General features: G+C 41.6%; 2 protein-coding genes across 13 annotated transcripts in view, besides 1 other annotated feature; both read right to left on the bottom strand.

Moving 5' to 3' along the window:
- ARMCX5-GPRASP2 (ARMCX5-GPRASP2 readthrough) overlaps positions 1 to 21,780 on the bottom strand; it is a 308,717-nt gene that overhangs the window by 165,104 nt on the left and 121,833 nt on the right. For 2 of the 7 annotated variants that reach the window (NR_146585.2, NR_146586.2), the window contains exon 7: positions 18,100 to 21,597. The exons of the other annotated variants lie outside the window; for them this stretch is intronic. The gene's annotated coding sequence lies outside the window, so the exon portion shown is untranslated. Of the gene's footprint in view, positions 1 to 18,099; positions 21,598 to 21,780 lie in introns of those variants that run through there. 7 annotated transcript variants of the gene reach the window in all.
- The window catches only part of GPRASP3 (G protein-coupled receptor associated sorting protein family member 3), a 32,798-nt gene that overhangs the window by 10,580 nt on the left and 438 nt on the right, over positions 1 to 21,780 (bottom strand). The gene's annotated exons all lie outside the window — the stretch shown is intronic.
- Positions 8,583 to 9,118: an enhancer, noted in NCBI's record as "NANOG-H3K27ac hESC enhancer chrX:101988771-101989306 (GRCh37/hg19 assembly coordinates)". NCBI's record gives its function as "activates a minimal SCP1, AML or CMV promoter by ChIP-STARR-seq in naive H9 embryonic stem cells {active_cell/tissue: H9 hESC(naive)}" and the evidence as "EXISTENCE:reporter gene assay evidence [ECO:0000049][PMID:30033119]".

Genomic DNA, 21,780 nt, shown 5'->3' with positions numbered 1-21,780 from the left:
AACCAATGTGCATCTTACATGTATTAATTGATGTCTCATCTCTCCCTAAAATTTACAAAACCAAGCTGTGCCCCGACCACAATGGGCACATGTTGTCAAGACCTCTTGAGGCTGTGTCACAGAAGCATCCTTAACCTTGAGAAAATAAACTTCCTCAATTGACTGAGACTTGTCTCAGATATTTGGGGTTCATATTTTGGTAACCACAAAGGGATTCTGAGTGGAGGTGCCCCTGACCTTCACGAATCTCCTATGGGTGCTTGGTACCAGCTTGAGCTATCTTTATGGCTCAAACCAATAGGACAACTTGCAGAGGCCTGGAAGCCCCCCTCCAGAGAATCCCTGATCTCCCAAAATTTGGTTGAGAACTAAAGTTTAGTTTGCTGTACAACTCCTTTATTTTTTTGGAGTTTTACTTGCTTCCAACAAGGAAGGCAGGGTCTGCAAAGTATCTCAAGTACTGACCTTAGATTTTTCAACAGTGATGTTATTCCCAGGAGCAATTTGGGGAGGTTCAGACTCTTGCAGCCGGAGGCTGTGTGGCCCCTAAACCATAATTTTTAATCTTGTAGCTAATTTGTTAGGCCTACAAAGGCAGACTGGTCCCCAGGCAAGAAGGTCCCCCCCGACCCCGCCCCCGACTGGGAAAGGGCTACTATCAATTTTGTTTCAGAGTTAAACTATAAACTAAATTCCTTCCCAAGGTTAGTTTGGCCTACACCCAGGAATGAACAAGGACAGCTTAAAGTTTAGAAGCAAGATGGAGTTGGTAAGGTCTGATCTCTTTCACTGTCATAATTTCATCAGCTATAATTTTTGCAAAGGTGGTTTCATTAGCACACTGAGATGGACAAGAATGATGAGGGCAATAGCAAGCATGCCTTCATTTATTCCTTCTCCAATGCCCTTTCTTTCTATAAATTTCTGACCTATATTATTGTACCTTTTCCCTGAAGAAATTCTTTTTAACATCTCTTGCAGGGCAGGTCTGCTGGTGATGAATATCCTCAGTTCTTGTTTGTCTGAGAAATTATTTCTCCTTCATGTTTAAAGATAATTTTACTAATCACAGAGGTCTAGGTTGGTAGTATTTCTTTCAATATTTTAAATATTACAGCCCACTCTCTTCTTTACTTGCATGGTTTCTGCACTGTAATTCTTATCCTTGTTCCTCTGTAAGTAAGGGGTTTTGTTTTGTTTTGTTTTTCAGTATTTTCTCTTTGTCTTTCTTCAGTTTGCATATGATATGCCTATGTTACAGGGAGTTAGACAGGCATGATTGGGGCAGAAGAGGGCTCTCCCCCCACCCACTAGGACTGTCAGAAGATGATTTAGCAATTATTGCATTGCCTCTCTAAAATTGAAAAATTGGCAGTTGGTGCCAGGGAGAGGCCATTTCCTAATGGCCCACACCTATTGCACTAAAGTGTTAATTGAATGCAGGCAAGAGGGTGAAGCAACTTCCCAGGCATATGCATTAAGAGACAAAATAGCAGAGTATGACCTTCTGGGAGCACTCCACTGGAAAAGGAAAGAAAGCCTCAGATGGGCATGCATATAACTTTCTAAATACACTGTGCATGCTCACTTCCTAAGGAGAAGGAGGGCACCTTGCATGCAGGCAGCCCACACTAACGGAAGCATCATGGGAAAAGGGCCAGCCTATAAAGTCCTAGGATCGAGATTAAACAGTGCACTTGTCCTTCAAGTCGCCCACTTGGGTCTCTTTCAAGCATGCTTTCATTTCTATCCTGTTCTAAAGCCTTTTAAAATAAACTTCCACTCTTGCTCTGAAACTTGCCTTGGTCTCTTTTTCTGCCTTATGCCCCTCAGTCAAATTCTTTCTTCTGAGGAGGCAAGAATTGAGGTTGCTGCAGACCCATACAGATTCACCAATGGTAACTCGGACACTTGTTACCCTTAACATATTAGGTACCATGAGACTCGGTTATTTGCCACCGGTAACATATTGGCCATGTGACTCAGATGTTAAGAGATATCTATGCCTTGCCTTCTTTGGTTGGAGGCATCTGACCCCCGTGTGCAGTTTTTTCTTTTCTTTTCTTCTTTTCTTTTTCTTTTCTTTTCTTTCTTCTTTCTTTCCTTCCTTTCTCTTTTCTTCTCTTTCTTTTTCTTGTGATCAATTCTGCTATTAATGCATTCTTTAGTATGCAGCTCCAAAATTTCTGCCTGATTCTTTTTAATTATTTTCAATGTCTTTGTTAAATTTATGATAGAATTTTGAATTCCTTCTCTGTGGTATCCTGAATTTCATTAAGTTTCCTCAAAACAGCTATTTCAACTTCTCTGTCTGAAAGGTCACACATCTCTGTTTTTCCAAGATTGGTCCCTGGTGCCTTATTTAGTTTGTCTGGTGAGGTTATGCTTCCCTGGCTGCTCTTGATGCTTGTTGATGTTGGTTGATTTTTGGACATTGAAAAGTTATGAATTTATTATACTCTTCACAATCTGGGGAAGGCTTTACAGGTATTTTAAGGGACTTGGGCCCCAAGCTCTATAACACTGTGGTTCTTGCAGACTAGTGGAAGTAACACTTGTTGGTCTTGGTTAAGATTCGGAAGAATTCCCTGGATTACCAGGCAGAGACTCTTGTTCTCTTCCTTTACATTCTCCCAATCAATCAATCAATCGATCTCTCTCTCTCTGTCAGTCTCTCTCTCTCTCCATAAGTGACTCTGCTTTTTGTGGTTGATTTCTCAGCTCACCCTAATGGGTGGCTTGCGGGGGTGGGAAGGACCTTAGGGTCCACACCAAGTAGGTCAGAAGCATTAAATGGCCCTCCTAGATAGGAGGCTTATGAGAGTGGTGAGGCTGAGGCCTAAAAACCATGCAATGTCTGGGATTTCCTCTGCTTTTTCTTTCCAACTAAAATTGGCTCTTTTCCAAAAATGTATACCACCCATTCTTCTGTTTTCTGTGTGTGTGTTCTAAAATGGCTTTTCACGCCCACCAGACCTTCTGCCTTGGGTGAAAGTCTGCTTCTTTGCTTTCACTTTGCATGCCACATGACTTCTAAAACACACACTCCCTATTATTCATGCGCCCATGGCTCTCTGCATTTCTGCAGCAGCAAAGGCACAGGCTCCCTTGTGGATATCCCCCGAGGTTTATATTTGTTTTTACTATCTCGGGTGACATTCCATCTTTCCCCTGTCTGCTGGCATGTGGCCAGAACACTAATTGGAACTCCAGTGCTGCCGGTTTCTTACAACTCATCATGTGCATTTTGTTCCTATTATGCCCCAGCGCTAAGTTTTCTGATGGCTTTTAAAAGCGGCTTGTCTGCCTGCATAGTGCTTCACTCTGGTCCTTCAAGAATCCCACCCTCTTGCTTTTTAAGCCACCACCACTTTGGGAGGAGGAGAAATTCTTACCCCAGGCCCCAAGTCCTCAGAGGTTACGGCTTTATGTTCAGAGGGCAAATAAATATTACCCTCTTGAATACAAGGGCTCCTGTTTTTGTGAGCACATGAAGGCTTTCCATGAGTATTCCTCTTGCTTCTTTCCACTTCCTCCTATAGCCGCCATTTCTCGAATTACTTCCATGCCCTTCTCAATGTGCATCAAGACCTTCAAGGTCATATTCTAAGGGAGTGGGGAGGGAAGTCCAGCCGCTGTGGCAGTTAACAGAGAAACAGGCTTCTAAGAAAAAAGATAATTATTTTATTACTAAAATCCTCTGAGTGAGAGTCACTATAAGGCCATGGAGACAAGGATATAGGCTGGTTAAAGGCCACTGATAAAAGTGTGAAAGGAAAATATCTTGTGCCCTCAAAATCCTAGCTAAAGGGAACACTCAAGCTGGGCAAATCTGCCTCCCATTCTATTCAAAGTCATCCCTCTGCTCACTCTGATAGAAGCTTATTCTGATTGCCTCCTTTGGAAAAGCTTATGAGAAACTCAAAAGAATGCAACCATTTGTCTCTCACCTACCTGTGACCTGGAAGCCCCCTCCCTGCTTCCAGTTGCCCCCACCATTCTGGACAGAACCAATGTACTTCTTACATATATTAATTGATATCTCATCTCTCCCTAAAATGTATAAAACCAAGCTGTGCCCCAACCACCTTGGGTACATGTCCTTAGGACTTCCTGAGGCTGTGTCACTGGCGTGTGTCCTCAACCTTGGCAAAATAAACTTTCTAAATTAACTGAGGCCTATCTCAAATTTTCAGGGTTCACATAAGAGACCCATAGGACAGAGATGAAGGGTGGCCCAGGCTGACAGATTACCATTGGAACAGAAATGAAACACTAGGGGGTTACACAGTAAGAACCAATTAATTCCAGAACCCCAGGAATGGACAGGGGCCCACGGTTCACTCCAGTATCTCCTCTATTCTCCAGTGGGTAATCGTGATGAGATGGGACCATGGATACAGAGTAAAGACTGGTTAAGTCTGGAACCCAAGAAGGGTGGTCCTAGCCTAACGGATTACCATTGGAAAAAAGATGAAAGGCTAGGCAGGTACACAGTAAGGACCAGTTAATTCTGGAACCCCAGGGATGGACAGGGGCTCACTGTTCACTCCAGTATCTCTTCTGTTCTCTGTTCTCAAGTGGGTAATTGTAATGAGATGGGACCATGGGTACATGGTAAAGAATGGTTAAGTCTAGAACCCAGGATGATGGGGGATGCCCCATTTGGGATAATAGGAAGAAAGAGAGGACACCTTTTTCCCTTTTCCTCTTTTTCCTCCTCTGTTCTCTCTTCGCAAATGGCAGATGGGAAATTGTGTCTCCATACCACAGGACTTGCCCCTTGGATGCATTCCCCCAAACTGGGAAAATTTTAATTTCCTCAAACCTTAAACTGCTTGGCTTAAAAAGAAACTGGGAAGCAATTACAAGAGTCAGACTTGGAACCCCTGTGCAGGAGGTCCTCAGATTAGCCTCTTATGTCTTTTATAACCCAGAGTAGAATAAAGAGAACAGGGCTAAGCCTGTTAGGTGGGGCAAATGGCATCCCCTCCCTCAAAACAAAAGATTCACACCCCTTTATATTACTTAAGGGACCAATTGCTATTCACCCACCGGTCCCTGGTAATGTCTAAAATAGCCCACACTTATTCAGACAAGCCCTAGCAAAAATCTAACTGAGAAATCTCCTGAGAGGGGATAACTTCTACAGTATGTAGACAACTTCTTTATCTACTCCCCCTTCTCAGGACACACATGGCAACATGCAGTACAAACCTTAACTTTCTAACAGAAAATGACTTTTGTCTAGTTCAAAGTTTCCATGAAATGGAAAAAAGATGATTTTTCCTTGGTGTTGTGGCTTGGTCCCCAGGGTGTGGCAAGCAGGGTCGCTAGGGCTGCTCAGGGAAAGGGAACCCAGAAGCCAGCAGCCAGGCATGCTGGTAGACTGGTAGGAATTCTTACCAGACTTCTGGCTTCTCTCTTTCTATGCAAACCAGTAGTAGGAATGGTAGAAATCAATGTATTCTCTGCCCCTCCATGAATGACTTCTGACTTCCCTTCTTGAATTTTCCTTTGTCGAAGCTACCTTTGTAGACTCTAAATCTTGTAAAAACTGCTTACCACCTCTTTGAACATACGTCATACACTCATGGATAAGTCATAACCTTAGTTAAGGCTTATTGGTTTCACCTGTGAGGTTACTTTTGGTAAAGTTCAAAAACCACAAGTATTGGCTATTTGGCTAAGCTAAAGTCAAGTAATAAGAGATTTAAAAGGATTTTCTTAGGAACACTATGGTTAAAAGTCAGCTTAGTTAAAAGCAGATATCCAAGCTATACATACATTTAAAAGGCCTTTGTTTTTTTCTCTTCTTGAATCTTATTTTTCTGAAGAAAAAAAGGTTTTTTGTTCTCAGTCAACTGAATTGCTTTTCTTATTTTGTCTTCTTGCCACTCTTGATGCACACATGAAAGGACCTAAGATAATTTCTAACAGCTTGGGACTCCTTGGGAAAAAAAGAGGAGGTGCCACAGACCCCGTTTTGGGAAAAACCTCTGGTTTCCTCATGGAACCCCAGGAATTGAAAGTGGATAGATCCCTCTTAAAATCTAAGGCTCTGTTCTGTTTGCATTGCGTTACCTGTTTTTCACTTTTGGGAGTTTCAGAAATTACTTCACATTATGAAAGAACTTTGGTAATAACCAGGTAGGAAATATATGGATGGCTAATGGCAGTTATGGAGGAATACTTGCACATTTGGATCAGAGAAGCATGCTCTTGGCCACCTGGAAGGTACGGCAACATCCCCAGCCCCCACTGAGAGATAAGATTCCCATGGGGAATGGGCTGATTGGCATTGGATCACTTTGCAATGAAATGTATGGTAAAATCATTGTACTGTCTTGCTCCGTAGCATTTCTCTTTTGGGGATTCAGGATCCACTATAACGATGGTCCCTTAATTTTGGGGATCCATTTTTGCCTTCCAGCTGTATCTGCTTATTAGGCTCTGGAAACTGTATGCTTTCTCCACGCTGTTCTTCCAAAGACTCCACCCTGAAGCCAATAATCCAATTAAGAAACAAAAAGTGGCAAATGAAAAATCTTACAACTACTGAATCTTCTATGTATTCATATGTGTTGTGTGTGATGATGTTTATATAAAAGAGCTCTAATTAATTGGTGTTAAAAAATAAATGCTTAAATATTGTCAGAAAATTTAAACTGTAATGCCTTTTAGTTCATGTGACCTAAATAATCTTTGGGAAATAAAGACAGTTTTAGGATTATTGGTAAAATAAAAATATCTTCAAAAATTTAGACATTTGGTCTAAATTATGCAAGTCAGATATTAGGTTTGCTAAATGCTTTAAGGTCATAAACTGCTTCTTTGGCTTTTGAAAATTGTTCGACTTGCCTGCTTTACCACTAGATAAGGCCTAACGACATGTGGAGTTAGCCATATCCCTAGCTATGCTGGAAAGAGACCTTATCTGCACTTCTGTCTGGTGTCCTAGGCTCCAAATCTAGTACATAATTAAAATAGCTTACTAACCAGGTTTTTCAGCAAAAGTTGCTAAGAGTCAACAGTGTAACATGTATTTGAAACTACTAAAGAAACAGTTTTACATGCAAGGTGTGCAAGGAAAGTAAAATGTGCATATGGTAAAAGATTACAAGAAGGAATGGGAATGTGGATTTCTTGCCTAGTTTAGAGGGTTAAAGGATTATTTTAAGTTAGATAGGAAACATCTGAGGGCTTGAACAAGTTGTGGAAAGTTTGTGAAAAATATATTGCAAAAGAGATTCAGCCGGGCGCGGTGGCTCGCGCCTGTAATCCCAGCACTTTGGGAGGCCGAGGCAGGCGGATCACAAGGTCAGGAGATCGAGACCATCCTGGCTAACACGGTGAAACCCTGTCTCTACTAAAAATACAAAAAAAAAAATTAGCCAGGTGTGGTGGCGGGTGCCTGTAGTCCCAGCTACTGGGGAGGCTGAGGCAGAGAATTGCTTGAACCCAGGAGGCGGAGCTTGCAGTGAGCTGAGATGGTGCCACTGCACTCCAGCCTGGGCAAGAGAGCAAGACGTCGTCTCAAAAAAAAAAAAAAAAAAAGAGATTCTGTGTGTAAACATATTGGCTAAAGTTAAAGGGGTATTATACAGTTTTTCCGTAAGTTGAACATTGGAATAAAAGCACAACAGAGTTTTCTTGGAGCACTGATCTGCTCTTTAACAAAAGAAGTTGTAAAGTGTTATAAAAGGTTTATGAGAATCTTACCTTATGGTCGGACATTAAAATTAGATAGATTTGTCTATAACATTTTATTAAGAATTCGGTTTGACACTAATGCAAAGGTGAAATTTAGCTTTCTCTCTTGAACAAGATTTTCGTGTAATATTAAAAAATAATGAAAGATTTTTGTTTGCCTTTCAAATAAACTATAGGTTGGCTAAGTGAATGACTTATGGTGACCTGGGATTTTATTTTATAATATCAAATGTTTAAAATCTTTGATATTTGACAAACTTTCCAAAATTAAATTATAAATCATGTCTATTTCTGACCTAATTAATGTTTTAGATATTAGGTCCTCTAAAGTCCAAAAATGACATAGTTGGCTTATTTGGTATAAGGAAGCATTGTCAAATATGAAATTGTATTTGGCTTTCTTTGGGCTGTATTTGCATAAATATGTTATTAATATGTGTTCCAAAATTATGAGACTCTGATATAACTTAGTGGGTATTATTAATAATTAGAACTGTTATGTAAAATTATTGTGTGCCACAGAGGTAAGAAATTTCCTTGTCAATGTGTCTTTAACTGTGGCTGCCCTAGGACTTTTCATCATCCACAGACAATTGTCTTGTTATTTTTTTATTATTATTATTATTTTTTTGAGACAGAGTCTCGCTCTGTTGCCCAGGCTGGAGTGCAGTAGCCCAATCTCGGCTCACTGCAACCTCTGCCTCTCAGGTTCTACTGATTCTGCTTCCTCAGCCTCCTGAGTAGCTGGGACTACAGGCGTCTGCCACCATGCCTGGCTAATTTTTGTGTTTTTAGTAGAGACGGGGTTTCGCCATATTGGCCAGGCTGGTCTCAAACTCCTGACCTTTTGATCCGCCTGCCTTGGCCTCCCAAAGTGCTGGGATTTCAGGCGTGAGCCACCGCGCCTGGCCTGTCTTGTTTTGATCCTCTTTAAATGGTGTTTTATAATCAGCTATAGAACTGACAGGTGTTCCTGAATGCAAGTTTCTGGTAACTTTGGAGATTGTGACTGTCAGGCCTCTGAGCCCAAGCTAAGCCATCATATCCCCTGTGACCTGCACGTATACATCCAGATGGCCTGAAGTAACTGAAGAATCACAAAAGAAGTGAAAATGGCCTGTTCTTGCCTTAACTGATGACATTGCACCACAAAAGAAGTGAAAATGGCCGGTCCCTGCCTTAACTGATGACATTATCTTATGAAATTCCTTCTCCTGGCTCATCCTGGCTCAAAAGTTCCCCCACTGAGCACCTTGTAACCCCCGCCCCTGCCAGTCAGAGAACAACCCCCTTTGACTGTAATTTTCCTTTACCTACCCAAATCCTATAAAACGGCTCCACCCCTATCTCCCTTCGCTGACTCTCTTTTCGGACTCAGCCCGCCTGCACCTAGGTGAAATAAACAGCCTTGTTGCTCACACAAAGCCTGTTTGGTGGTCTCTTCACACGGATGCGAGTGAAAGTGACATTAAAATAAAGGAAAAAATACGTTTCAGGACTTTCATGGAGAGCTGAAATGTTCATGAATATCAAGCAGAACAGGGGTTAACTGAATGGACAAAACTAATAAAAGACTGAAGTCATCTTTTTTTTTTTTAACATTTTGCTTAAAATGTTGCTGATCCTTTGTTTTTCAGATTCAAGAAAACTTTTCTTTTGAGTTATTTACAGCTTTTAACAATTGAGTAAAGTATACTCCTGTGAAGAAAATTTGGAGCGTATTCCTTTCTCGCTACCTGATTTTTCCAGAATTTGGAAACAATTTGTGAGCTTTTTTTTTTTTTTTTGAGATGGAGTTTCGCTCTTTGTTGCCCAGGCTGGAGTGCAGTGGTGTGATCTCGGCTCACTGCAACCTCTGCCTCCCAAGTTCAAGCAATTCTCCTGTCTCAGCTTCCCGAGTAGCTGGGATTACAGGCGCCCGCCACCATGCCCGGCTAATTTTTTTTGTATTTTTAGTAGAGACGGGGTTTCACCATGTTGGTCAGGCTGGTCTCAAACTCCTGACCTTAGGTGATGCTCCTGCCTTGGCCTCCCAAAGTGCCGGGATTACAGGCGTGAGCCACTGCACCCAGCCAATTTGTGAGTATTCTTAACTTATGGCAATATAGTTATTTGCATAAGTGCAATAAGAATGCTTTCTTTTGCAACAGGGCAATGGGAGAAACTGGTTGTTTTACCAAGTCTTTGACTGGAATGACATGTCTTCATTTAAGGAATCAAGCTTGACTTATAGAGCCAATAAAAGCCCTTTGGGAAAACTGGCCTCATACCTTGTCTACACAGTCCCTGTACAGGGTTCCTGACCTGTGGTATGTAAAGAATGTCATTTTCTGACAGGCCTAGGAACCCCAAGTTATTTTGGAACCTCAAAAAAAGAGAAATTTACTCAACTCATAGGTATTTGAAGGTACAAACCCATGGGTGAGCTCAGTTTTAAAAAGTCTTATCTGAGATTACTTATGGAACAGAGTTCCATCAAAGCAAATTTTAAAAGCCTATGTGAAAAAAAATTATTCTTGCTGGGCTTTATGCAAATAATCAGGCTAAGTATAATAAGACTAAAGTTTACTTTCCAAACAAATCAGTCCTATCATAATTTTTAAAAAAATCACGAGGACTGGAGAGAGAAAAATATTTTTCAAAAATTATTATATACCTACTATTAGAATCTAGTCTCATCAGTTGTTTTTAAGTTTTTGTCTGCATTTTGGACTAACCCTGCTTATTCCTGTAAACCAACCAGTGATCTCTTGATGCAGCTCAGAAGAAACAAAAAGGATGGGTCATCAAGCTCCAGATGATCTTCAGTGAGGGATATCATCCTCTCAATATTCAAGAGACACCCTTCTACAGGGGACCCCTAGACTGATCATCAGTGGGACAGGAAGGTGGCAAAATCCTGCCCCTGACTCCCTTGGATCTGGCTAGATACTGCTTTCACCAATCCACGGAATGACGTTCCTGCCCTGTCAGCTAGCAAGAGTCCAAGACCCACTGAACCACCATTGTCCCTTTGTCAGTGGAAAGCAGTTACAGAAGACTGACTTTTGTCCATTTTTCCCCAAAGATTTGGGGTCTTGGGCTCTTGAGGGGGGAATGTTACAGGTAGACAGGCATGAGCAGGGCAAGAGAGGGCTCTCCCCCCACCCACTAGGAATGTCAGGTGATGGTTCCGCAATTATCCCATTGCCTCTTTAAAAGTGATAGTTGGCAGCTGGCATGAAGGACAGGCCATTTCCTGATAGTCCACACCTATTTCACTAAAGTGTTAATTGAATGCGGATACCAGGGAGAAGCAATTTCCCAGGCATATGCATTAAGAGACAGGATGACAGAGTATGACCTTCTGGGGGCACTCCACTGGAAAAGGGAAGAAAGCCTCAGATGGGCATGCATGCAACTTTCTAAACACACTGTGCGTGCTCACTTCCCAAGGGTAAGGAGGGCACCTTGCATGCGGGCAGCCCACACTAACGGAGGAATCACGGGAAAGGAACCAGCCTATAAAATCCTAGGATCAAAGTTAAACAGTGTGCTTGTCCTTCAAGTTGCACGCTTGGGTCTCTTCCAAGCGTACTCCCCTTTCTCTCCTGTTCTGAAGCCTTTTTTTTTCTTTTTTTTTTGAGTTGGAGTCTCGCTCTGTTGCCCAGGCTGGAGTGGCGTGATCTCAGCTCACTGCAACCTCCGCTTCCCGGGTTCAAGTGATTATCCTGCCTCAGCCTCCTGAGTAGCTAGGATTGCAGGCATGTGCCACCACACCCAGCTGGGTTTTTTTATTTTTTTATTTTAGTAGAGACAGGGTTTCACCATGTTGGTCAGGCTGGTCTCAAACCCCTGACCTTGTGATCTGCCTGCCTCGGCCTCCCAAAGTGCTGGGATTACAGGCGTGAGCCACTGGGCCCGGCCCCTGAAGCCTTTTTAAATAAACTTCCACTCCTGCTCTGAAATTTGCCTCGGTCTCTTTTTCTGCTTTGTACCCCTTGGTCGAATTCTTTCTTCTGAGCAGGCAAGAATTGAGTTTGCTGCAGACCTGTATGGATTCACTGTTGGTAACTTGGATACCTTCCAGTGGTAACACTTAGGTGTAGACTTTTTTGGTATTTATCCTGCTTAGTATTTTCTAAAATTCCTGGATCTGTGGTTGGATGTTTGTCATTGATTTTGGAAAATTCTCAGCTGTTATTATTTGAAATATTTCTTCTGCTCCAAATTCACTGTTTTCTTTCTAGTATTCCAACTATGCATATGTTATACCTTTCAAAATCATCCCACAGTGCTTCAATGTTCAGTTCTTTTTTTCATTTCAATTTGGAAGTTTCTATTGTGAAAAGAAAATAAAAACCCAGGACCCTGATTCACTATGCCAAAAGGAAAATATTAAGCTGAAAGCTGAGTCATGCAATAAAATACCTTTCTTTTTTTTTTTGTTCCTAAGCAGATAGCTACAGATAAAAGGTTAAATATCTCCACAGGTAGATATTACACATTTTCCTTACCTTATGTAAAGTGCTGATTTACTGTGAGCCAGAGGAATACAGAATTGACTATTCCTGTTTCTGCTCCTTTTCCCTTGCATCATGTGGATTACTGTACCCTCCCTCTTCCCCTCTAGCCTGCTGTTTCCATTTAAATATTGAAGCCCTCAAAATTATCTTTGGATAAAGGCACAGACCACAGACTGTTTCTGTGATTCCATGCTCTTTTCTTCTGGGAATGTCTTCACCTTGGCAAAATAAACTTCTAAATCAATTGAGACATGTCTTACATACTTTTTAGTTTACACTATTGACCTATCTTCAAGCTCAGGAGTCCCCAGCCCCTAGGCCACGGACCTGGACCCGTCCATGGCCTGTTAGGAACTGGGTCACACAGCAGGAGGTGAGTGGCGGGCTAGCCAGTAAATCTTCATCTGTATATACAGCCACTCCCCATCACTTTCATTGCCGCCTGAGCTCCGCCTTCTGGAAGATCAGCAGTGGCATTAGATTCTCATAAGAGCACAAACCGTATTGTGAACTGCACATGTGAAGGATCTAGGTTGCATGCTCCTTATGAGAATCTAATGCCTGATGATCTGTCACTGCCTCCCATCACCCCAAGATGGGACCATCTAGCTTTACAAAAACAATCTCCGGGCTCCCAGTGATTCTACATTATGGTGAATTGTATAATTATTTCATTATCTATTACAATGTAATAATAATAGAAATAAAGTACATAATACATGTAATGCACTTCAATTGTCCTGAAACCATGCCATTCGCCCCCCAGTCTATGGAAAAATTGTCTTCCACGAAATCTGCCCCTGGTGCCAAAAAAGATTGGGGACTGCTACTCAAGCTTGCTGAGTCTTTCCTCAACTGTGTCCAGTCTACTGATAATCCCATCAAAGGCATTCTTCATTTGCTGGAGTGCAGTGGCACAATTTCGGCTCACTGCAACCTCCACCTCCCGGGTTCAAGCGATTCTCCTGCCTCAGCCTCCTGAGTAGCTGGGATTACAGGCACCCGCCACCACGCCCAGCTAATTTTTGTACTTTTAGTAGAGATGGGGTTTCTCCATGTTGGCCAGGCTGATCTTGAACTCCTGACCTCAGGTGATCTACCCACCTCAGCCTCCCAAAGTGTTGGGATTACAGGCGTGAGCCACTGTGCCTGGGCTCTGTTACAGTATTTTTGATTTCTAGCATTTCCCTAAATATTCTTCTCAGGGAGAGTTTACATTTTGCAGCTCTTTTAACTGTTATTCACTGTTATCCACTATTATTATAATAAAGCCTTGTTAGCATGGTGGTGAAGTGCAGAGGAGAGGAAGTGTTCTATAATATTATGATTAAATTTCAGTCTTTTGTGGGCCTGTGTCCCTGGGCTTTGATTTTCATAAGAGTTTTATTTTAGCGCCTTTCTCTCCCTTACATGAGACTAGAAACCTAAAGGGGGCTGAAATAGGAGAAACGCCTTTCCCTCAGCTGAGATAAGGCTCTGATAAAGTCTTTTCCACCACAGAATAGGCTTTTTTTTTAAAAAATGAAGAAGGCTCTGGGTGTATTTCACAAAAGTACAGTTCCCTTCCCACTGCAGGGGCCATGAGGCCCTTCACTGCAAGAATATGGTGGGTTTCTTGGAAGTAATGCCCACAAAAGTGTGGGGACCTCCCTGACTGCAGATCCTCAGGGGTTTCTCACTCTCATATTATTCCACACTCAGTCTCCAGCAATTCATCAAAATTACATTTAAGTGCTCTTACCTATTTATGTCTCTAGCAGTTTCTGTTCTATGAAAGAAGAAATAGGCTGTGACTCTCTGGATTTGCCTTCAGAATTTGGGGTAGTCAACTGTCCTATGCCTCAGTTCTTTGAAGAATCTAAGAAATGTTGTTGATTCTGTTTGTTCAGATTTTTTTCTGGTTGTAAGTACAGGAGCAATGACTTACAAGTTCTTACATGTTGGAACTGAAACTGGAAGTCTGGCTATGGGTTTTAACAGGGAAGCTAAAGAGCAGTGAAAAATAAAAAATAAAAAATTTAAAATGGGCTGGGTGTGGTGGCTCACACCTTTAATCTCAGCACTTTGGGAGTCCAAGGTGGGAGGATCGCTTAAGTCCAGGAGCTCAAGAGCAGCCTAGGCAACATAGCAAGACCCCCTCTCTATTTAAAAAAAAAAAAAAAAAAAAAAAAAAGCAGTGCACATTGCTTTTGTCTGCTTCTTTTCTGCTGAACATCACATCTGGGAATTAGGTTGCCCTGGAAAACCCAGCTGCTCCATAAATATTAGCTCTTTTCACTCCCAGGTACAGGAAATTTATGGGGCTCCCTGAACCTGACATCTCAGCCCAAAAATTTGTAATGTGCAATGCAAATTAGACTTTTGACCTCCTGAATCAAAATTCCTGGTAATGGCCATGCACAATGGCTCATGCCTGTGATTCCAGCACTTTGGGAGGCCAAGGTGGGAGGGTCACTTGAGTGCAGGAATTCAAGACTGGCCTGGGCAATGCAGTTATACCTTGTTTCTACAAAAAATCTTTAAAAATTGAAAAATATATATATTATTGGTAATGAAGTCTGAGGAACTGTAACTTAATGCTAGGAGAGAAAAGTTGTCTATGTCACTACCACCACCACCACCATCAAGAGGCAGTGCATGATACTATTAGAATCTATAGTTTACATTAACTGCCTAATGATTGTTAAGTGCTTGCTTAGACTAGAGTAACTAGTTTCTGAGCCCTGGGAGTACATTCTAAAGGGAGTTTGTACAGAAGAGTTGGGAGTACCCAGATTTCAGAGCCAGACAGTCCAAAGTCTGAATACAGACTTTGTCACTATTTGTGTAACTTTAGCAAAGGTACTTAACGTCTTTATAACCCAGTTTCTTCATCCTTAAAAGGGAGCTGGCATTAACTACTTTACAGGATTATTGTGTATACTGAGAAAACTATTTGATATCCTGCACAACATGTGTATATCAGATCTTTCTAGTTCTTTTAAAATTTCTGATCTATTCCTATTATGGAGTGGGCTGGAGAAAGCAAGAAAGAATAGATGAGAACTACATGGTTTTTAAAGGTCATAATTGCTAAGTCAGTGTCACTGTGCTCTTTGTGCTGTAGCCTCAGTGCTTTGTATATTCTGTGTTGCTTACCATAACCCTTTACTAAAAGGATGCCATTTTTGCATAGTTGCCACTGCAGGTTACTGACTTTCTCCTCCTTTTAGTCACATGTCACAGAGAGGCTAATTCCATTTCCAAGAGTGAGTCTCTTTGGTCTACGGATAATCTATCCCCTTGGTACTCTCTTGTTTAGGAAGAGGCATTGATCAAATTCCACTCAATGTGACATTAGGGGAAGGTTACAGATGGACTTCTGAGGAAAGTGTCCTCATTCATAAGACAAAGTCATCAGAAAAGATTGTCTTTTCTTCTTCCTCAGGAAGTTGCTTACCTCCTGGAATTGTTGTAGCCATCAAGCTATCAGCCTTAGGACGGAAGTTGATATTGTGAATGGCAGAAGAAAGAGACGGAAAAAAGCTGAGTCCTTCGCTGAATTAAACAACCATCAAGGCTGCCCTACGTCAGTACTTACAATCATTGGATAATTAATTTCCTTATTAAGTTAGTTTTAGTTGAATTCCTTGTTATATGAAAATGGAACAATCCTAGATGTGCTCAGGCACAAAACAGCTCTTCAGTGAGTAAGAATTCCTGACTTGTGTCCATCAGTGAGCATCAGTGAGCACCTACATCTGCAGTAGCAGAACTCATGTTTCCCAGGAAAGAAAAGCCAGAAATTCTCAACACGTGTCCTAATGATTGCTAGAGGTCTGACAACTGTTTGGCTTCTGCTCCAGATTAAAAAGTAAAGCTTTAGGCAGAAGCCAAACTCTGACTTATCTAGGAGGTCCAGAGGTACATTAAATACTTAAGATAATAGATAAACCTAGTTTCAATTCAGAGGATCATTGTGTGAAGGTGCACCCTTGTGAAATATCCAGATTATAAAGATATCAAAGGTTACCTGCTTTCAGTTCAGGGGACTGTGCTGATATTGAGAAAGACACATTTACAGTGTCGACAGTTAGAACAATATGATTAATTTTCCCAGGTGCACTAAACAACAAAGGTATAGAAAGTCGTAGATACTTGAGATTTATCCAGAGTTGGGGTTTCTCCAGGACAGTGGAGCCAGGCACTAGAGGATGAGGTAGAAGAGTAGTAAAAATAAGTACTGTGATGGGCATTGGGTTGGGAAGGAAGGAAAGGGTGGAATAGGCTGATAAACAGGGAAAAAAGGATAAGGGACAGGAGGTCTAACAATATTCAGGTTTAATTTCTTTATGATAAATACTTTGCTACAAGCTTTGAGGAACAGAAGATCTGATTGTAAAAACAGTTACAATGATCATGGATGCTTTTATTGATAACTAGCACTGGAGGAATATAGACATAGCATAGAAGTAATGCACATCAGCTCCAGATTCAAACCACAAAGGTGGGAATGTCACCTCCTCTGCTAACCAACTCAGTGAGGTTGGCTAAGCTACTTAACCAATGTGTGCCTCAGCTTCCTCATATGTAGAATGGAAACAATAGCAGCACCTACCTCATAAGTTTGTTTTGAGGATTAACTAAGTGAATACATTTAGAGCCCTTAGTAGAGTACCCTGGCACATAGAAATCACCCAATAAATCCAATAAATCTTAATATTAACACAAATTACTATTTTAAGTAGTAAACATTCAGGCTTTGCAGTCAGACAGACTGGGGTTTGAATCACACTTCCAGAGTCCAAGCTTCTTTCTCTATGCTTCCTGTCCCTCAACACTAGTTCTATGTTATTCATTAAAAAATAAAAATAAAAAAATAAAAAGACTCTGATGCATGGTATAAAGAAACAAGTGGGATGGGCGCAGTGGCTCACGCCTGTAATCCCAGCACTTTGGGTGGCCGAGGCGGGTGGATCACCTGAGGTCAGGAGTTCAAGAGCAGCCTGGCCAACATGGCAAAACCCTGTCTCCACTAAAAATACAAAAATTAGCCGGGCATAAATTAATGGTGCAAAAATCAGTGGTGTGTGCCTGTAATCCCAGCTACTAGCGGGGCTGAGGCAGGAGGATCGCTTGAACTTGGGAGACAGAAGTTGCAGTGAGCTGAGATCGTGCCACTGCACTCCAGCCTGGGTGACGAAGTGAGACTCCGTCTCAAAAAAAAAAAAAAAAAGAAACAAGTGGCCAAGTGGCAAATAAAATATTGTGTAAGTACAAAGAATGGAGGAATTACTTCCTACCAAGGGGCAAGGGATAAGGGCGAGGAGGTATCAGACTTCAAAAAGGCCCTGGCATTTGAACTGAGCCCAAATGATGTTTCCCATAGACAGAAAAAGGGTAAGAACATTGAAGATTGAAGGGACAGCATGTGGGAAAGGCATAAAAGTAGTAAAGCACACAATACAGTTGGGAAAACAACAGATTTTCCAGTGGGGCTTGACTGCAGGCAAAGTGGGGCAAGGCCTGGAATAGTGTGAGGCACTTGAGAACAAGAGCTTCTTTCTTCATTTCATTCTAGTCCTGGCCTTGACTTGGAAGAATGTTATGAGAGATGGAGATAGAAAGGCAGACTTGTATTAAAGGGTGCAAGGTTGTGAAAGCCTTGATAGAAAATCTGGTGGTATTTTATAGATGAGATCCCATTGAAGGTTGCTCTTTTGAAATTGGGGGCAGAGTTGAGAATTAGTGGCTGCTAAAAGTCCAGACTAGACAGATGAAAAATTCACTCTGATACTATCCCCACACAACAACATTTTAGGCCAAGTGACATCTGAAGTAGCCTCTATTATATAAAGTAGCCCATAATATTTATCAAAAAAGGGAGAAGGAACAAGAGGACTGAGTGAATGATGAAGTTTTTATTTCAACTACACCCCAGAAAAATAATTGAGGAAGGATTCTACCCGCTACAAGTCAGAACAAAGGCAATCATCATTTTGCTTGGATACACACACACACACACACACACACACACACACACACCAGTCACCCTGCTCTTCGGCTGAGATTAAAAAATTCTACAGGCATAAACTGTTTAAGTATCTGCTTTGGAGTACATTTGGGACTTAGAAGTATTTAATCAGGCCACAATTTGAAGTTTTCTAAATATAAATGCAATACCCACAACAGGAATTCTAGGCTAAGGGAGCTGTGATAAGAAAAAAAATGATGACAGGATAGATGGATAGATAGATTAGATAGATAGACACATAGATAGATATAGATAAATAGATACATAGATAATTTTAAAAATTATCTAAATTACAGGTACATGCCACAAAAACAGACTGCTTTTTTCACCCATAATACACTGTTGGGTCTGAATCCTTCATTTTAACTTGTTGATGTAGAATACACAGCAAAGGTAAGCTTTATGTATATTAATCTAGGTGTGGCTGCTAAAACTAGGGAAAATTACACTATTGTTCTGATATCAAATATTTGAAACCAACTACTTGGAGTTAGCATTGGACTCCACAGGTTTAAGGGCACAATCACCAACAATACTGCCCCCACTTTAGATCAGATACCAGCCCCAATTCTCAGGAAGCCACCCATGCTTCTGACTGACCACTTATAAATTCAGGAGTTCCTATGACATTATGAGGTTTCATAATTAACTGAAACAACTCGTAGAACTCAAGAAAAGTGCTATTCTTATTATTACAGTTTCATTTAAGGATATACACAGGACAAGGTCTGAAAGCATTCTGGACACAAAGCTTCCATACCCTCTCCTTATGGAGTCAGGGTACACCACTCTCCCTAGAGAACAATATGTTCACCAACCAAGAAGCTCCACTTATCCCTGAAGTTCAAAGTTTTCACTGGGGTTTTATTACATAGGCAAGATTGATTAAACCATTGGTTGTGATTGAACTTAATACCTAGCCCCACTACCTTCCCTGAAGGTTGAGCTGGCCCAAAGTTCCAACCCTTTAATCACATGGTTGGTCCTTCTGGTGACCAGTCCCCATCCTGAAGCTATCTAGGGGCCCACCATAAGTCACTTCATTAGCATAACAAAGATACTCCTGTCACACAGGAAATTCCAAGATTTTTTGAAGCTGTGTCAGCAACTAGGGATAAAGATCAGCTATATTCTCTATTATACCACACCATACTTGAAGTCTTCTCTGTTGACATACTCGAAAAAACACACAGAGACAAGAGACAAGACAGCTTGAGTAGAAAACCATAAGCTGAATGCTGGCCCCAGTACTTATATTATCAGAATTCTGGAGAGTAAAGAGAAGAAAATAATAGGAGAGGGTAGGAGACGAGGATGCAGTCCTAGGGACTAATCTCTACCTATGATTTTGCCCCACATACCTTGTATCTATCCTAGCTTTTAAGTCTAAATAGGAGGGCTTAAAGTAGTAGAACAACATAGTTTCAACTCTATAAACTTGGTATAAACATAAGGATAGGAGTGGGATTAGAAAAAGTCATTTCTTCCTAGCAACACTTTCTTACACTGACTTTGTATGTATTGTGATATATGAAGAAATCAGCATTTGATCTTTTTTATTTTGATTGAAATTTGAAATGAGTTATTTTTAAAATTTTTTAAAATTTTTAATTCACATGGATATGCAATATTTGTACATATTTATGGGGTATAAATTATATTTTGATATAAGCATAGAATGTGTAATGTAATTGAGATATACATCACCTTAAATATTTATCATTTTGTTGCACTGAGGACATTCCAAATCTATTCTTCTAATTATACTGAAATATATAATAACTATTGTTAACTATAGGCACCCTATTGTGCTACTGAACACTAGATCATATTCCTTCTAACTGTATTGTTGTACCCATTAACCAACTCCTTTTTATACCCCATCCCCAATACCCTTTCCAGCCTTTGGTAACCATAATTCTTTGTCCCATATTCCTGGCATAGAGCTCCTAGAACCCTTGCTATTTCCTGATAGGGATAACGGAAGCATCTTTTGTTACATGTGGCTTTAGTCTCAAGTTCTTGACACTAAGACCCTTGGAATCTCTGGAGTGATAGGTGTCTTTTTTTATGTTCCGAGATGACTGGTGGGTGCACTAGATAGCTTCAAGATATGGATGGTCACCAGAAAGACCAAGGCATGATTAGAGGGTTGGAACTTTCAGCCTCACCCCTTGACCTCCAAGGAGAAGAGAGGGGCTGAAGATTGAGCTAATCACCAATGGTCAATGATTTCATCAATCACGCCTATGTAATGAAACCTCTATAAAAATCCCAAATGTCTGAGAGGTTCCAGGTTGGTGAACTCATTCATATTCTGGGAAGGTGGTGTACCCCAAATCCACATGGATGGCAGCTTCTGCATTTGGGACCCTTCTGGACCTTGCCATATGTACCTCTTCATCTGGCTTTTGATTTATATCCTTTATAATGAACCAGTAATAGGAAGTAGTGTTTCCCTGAGTTCTGTGGGCCCTTATAGCAAATTATTGAACCTGAGGAGGGGGTTGTGGGAACTTCCAACTAGTAGCTAAGTCAGACAGAAGTGTGGGTGACATGGAGATCCATTACTTGTGACTGTTGTCTGAAGTGAGGGAGGGCAGTCTTATGGGAATGAGCCCTTAACCAGAGAGGTCTGCACTAACTCTGGGTAGTATCAGAATTGAATTAAATTGTAGAATACCTAGCTGATGTCCTCAAAGAATAAGAGAATTGCTTGGTGTGAAAAATCCACACATTCTGTGCCAGAAGTATTGTGGGTAGAGGAACCATTTTCTTTCACTTGGTACCCAGTGGGTGCATGGGGTAGGGGGAAAGGAGGATACTCGATGTGAAAGAGGACAAGGACTTACCATGGGGCTGCTACCTAGGATGGGACCAAAGAAACACATCCTAAGGAATGAGCAGAGATCACAACACAAGAGAGCAAAGGGTATGCAGAGGGAAACTTAGGAGACTATCCATGAAGCAGTTTCTGTAGGTGGTCCCCAGAAAGACCCTCCTCTGAGGCCCAAGACAGCAGGGAGAGAGAGCTCACACGGAGTAGCAACCCACTTTGTGTCCCTCAATGGGAATGAGATCCTGCTGCATGGGGCTGAGATCCAGGAATCCCCTTGGGGGTCGAGAAGCTTGGAGTATCCTAATGAGAAATCCTAGGTGAAGGGCCCACAGCATCTAGGTTTCCTCCCCTCGAGTCTATGTCTCCTCCTCCTTTTCCTAGAACTGCCGGGATTGAGGTTCATTCCTCTCTTGCATCCCCAGCCAGCTGGAGCCTTGGAGCAAAAGGCAGATGTATGTGTTCTCTTCTGCCCTCCTCCACCCTCCGCCAGTTTTGAGCTGGTATCAGCCATCCCCACTGCCTGAATACTGCCAGTAAGAAGACAGAGAGTAGAATGAGTGCGGACGCATAGCTCACGGTTCCCATCCCCACCCCTGCCTTTCCTGATCCAGCACCACAGGTGTTCACGAATTGTCACTTCACCATTTCCCCGCTCTGGGCTCCCCTGAAGCCAACTCCATCCATATGCCCACCTCCCCCACCCACACATA

The sequence above is a fragment of the Homo sapiens genome, chromosome X (genome assembly GCF_000001405.40).
Source record: "Homo sapiens chromosome X, GRCh38.p14 Primary Assembly".
NCBI classification, from domain to species: Eukaryota; Metazoa; Chordata; class Mammalia; order Primates; family Hominidae; genus Homo; species Homo sapiens.
This window is presented reverse-complemented; position numbering and strand designations above follow the sequence as displayed.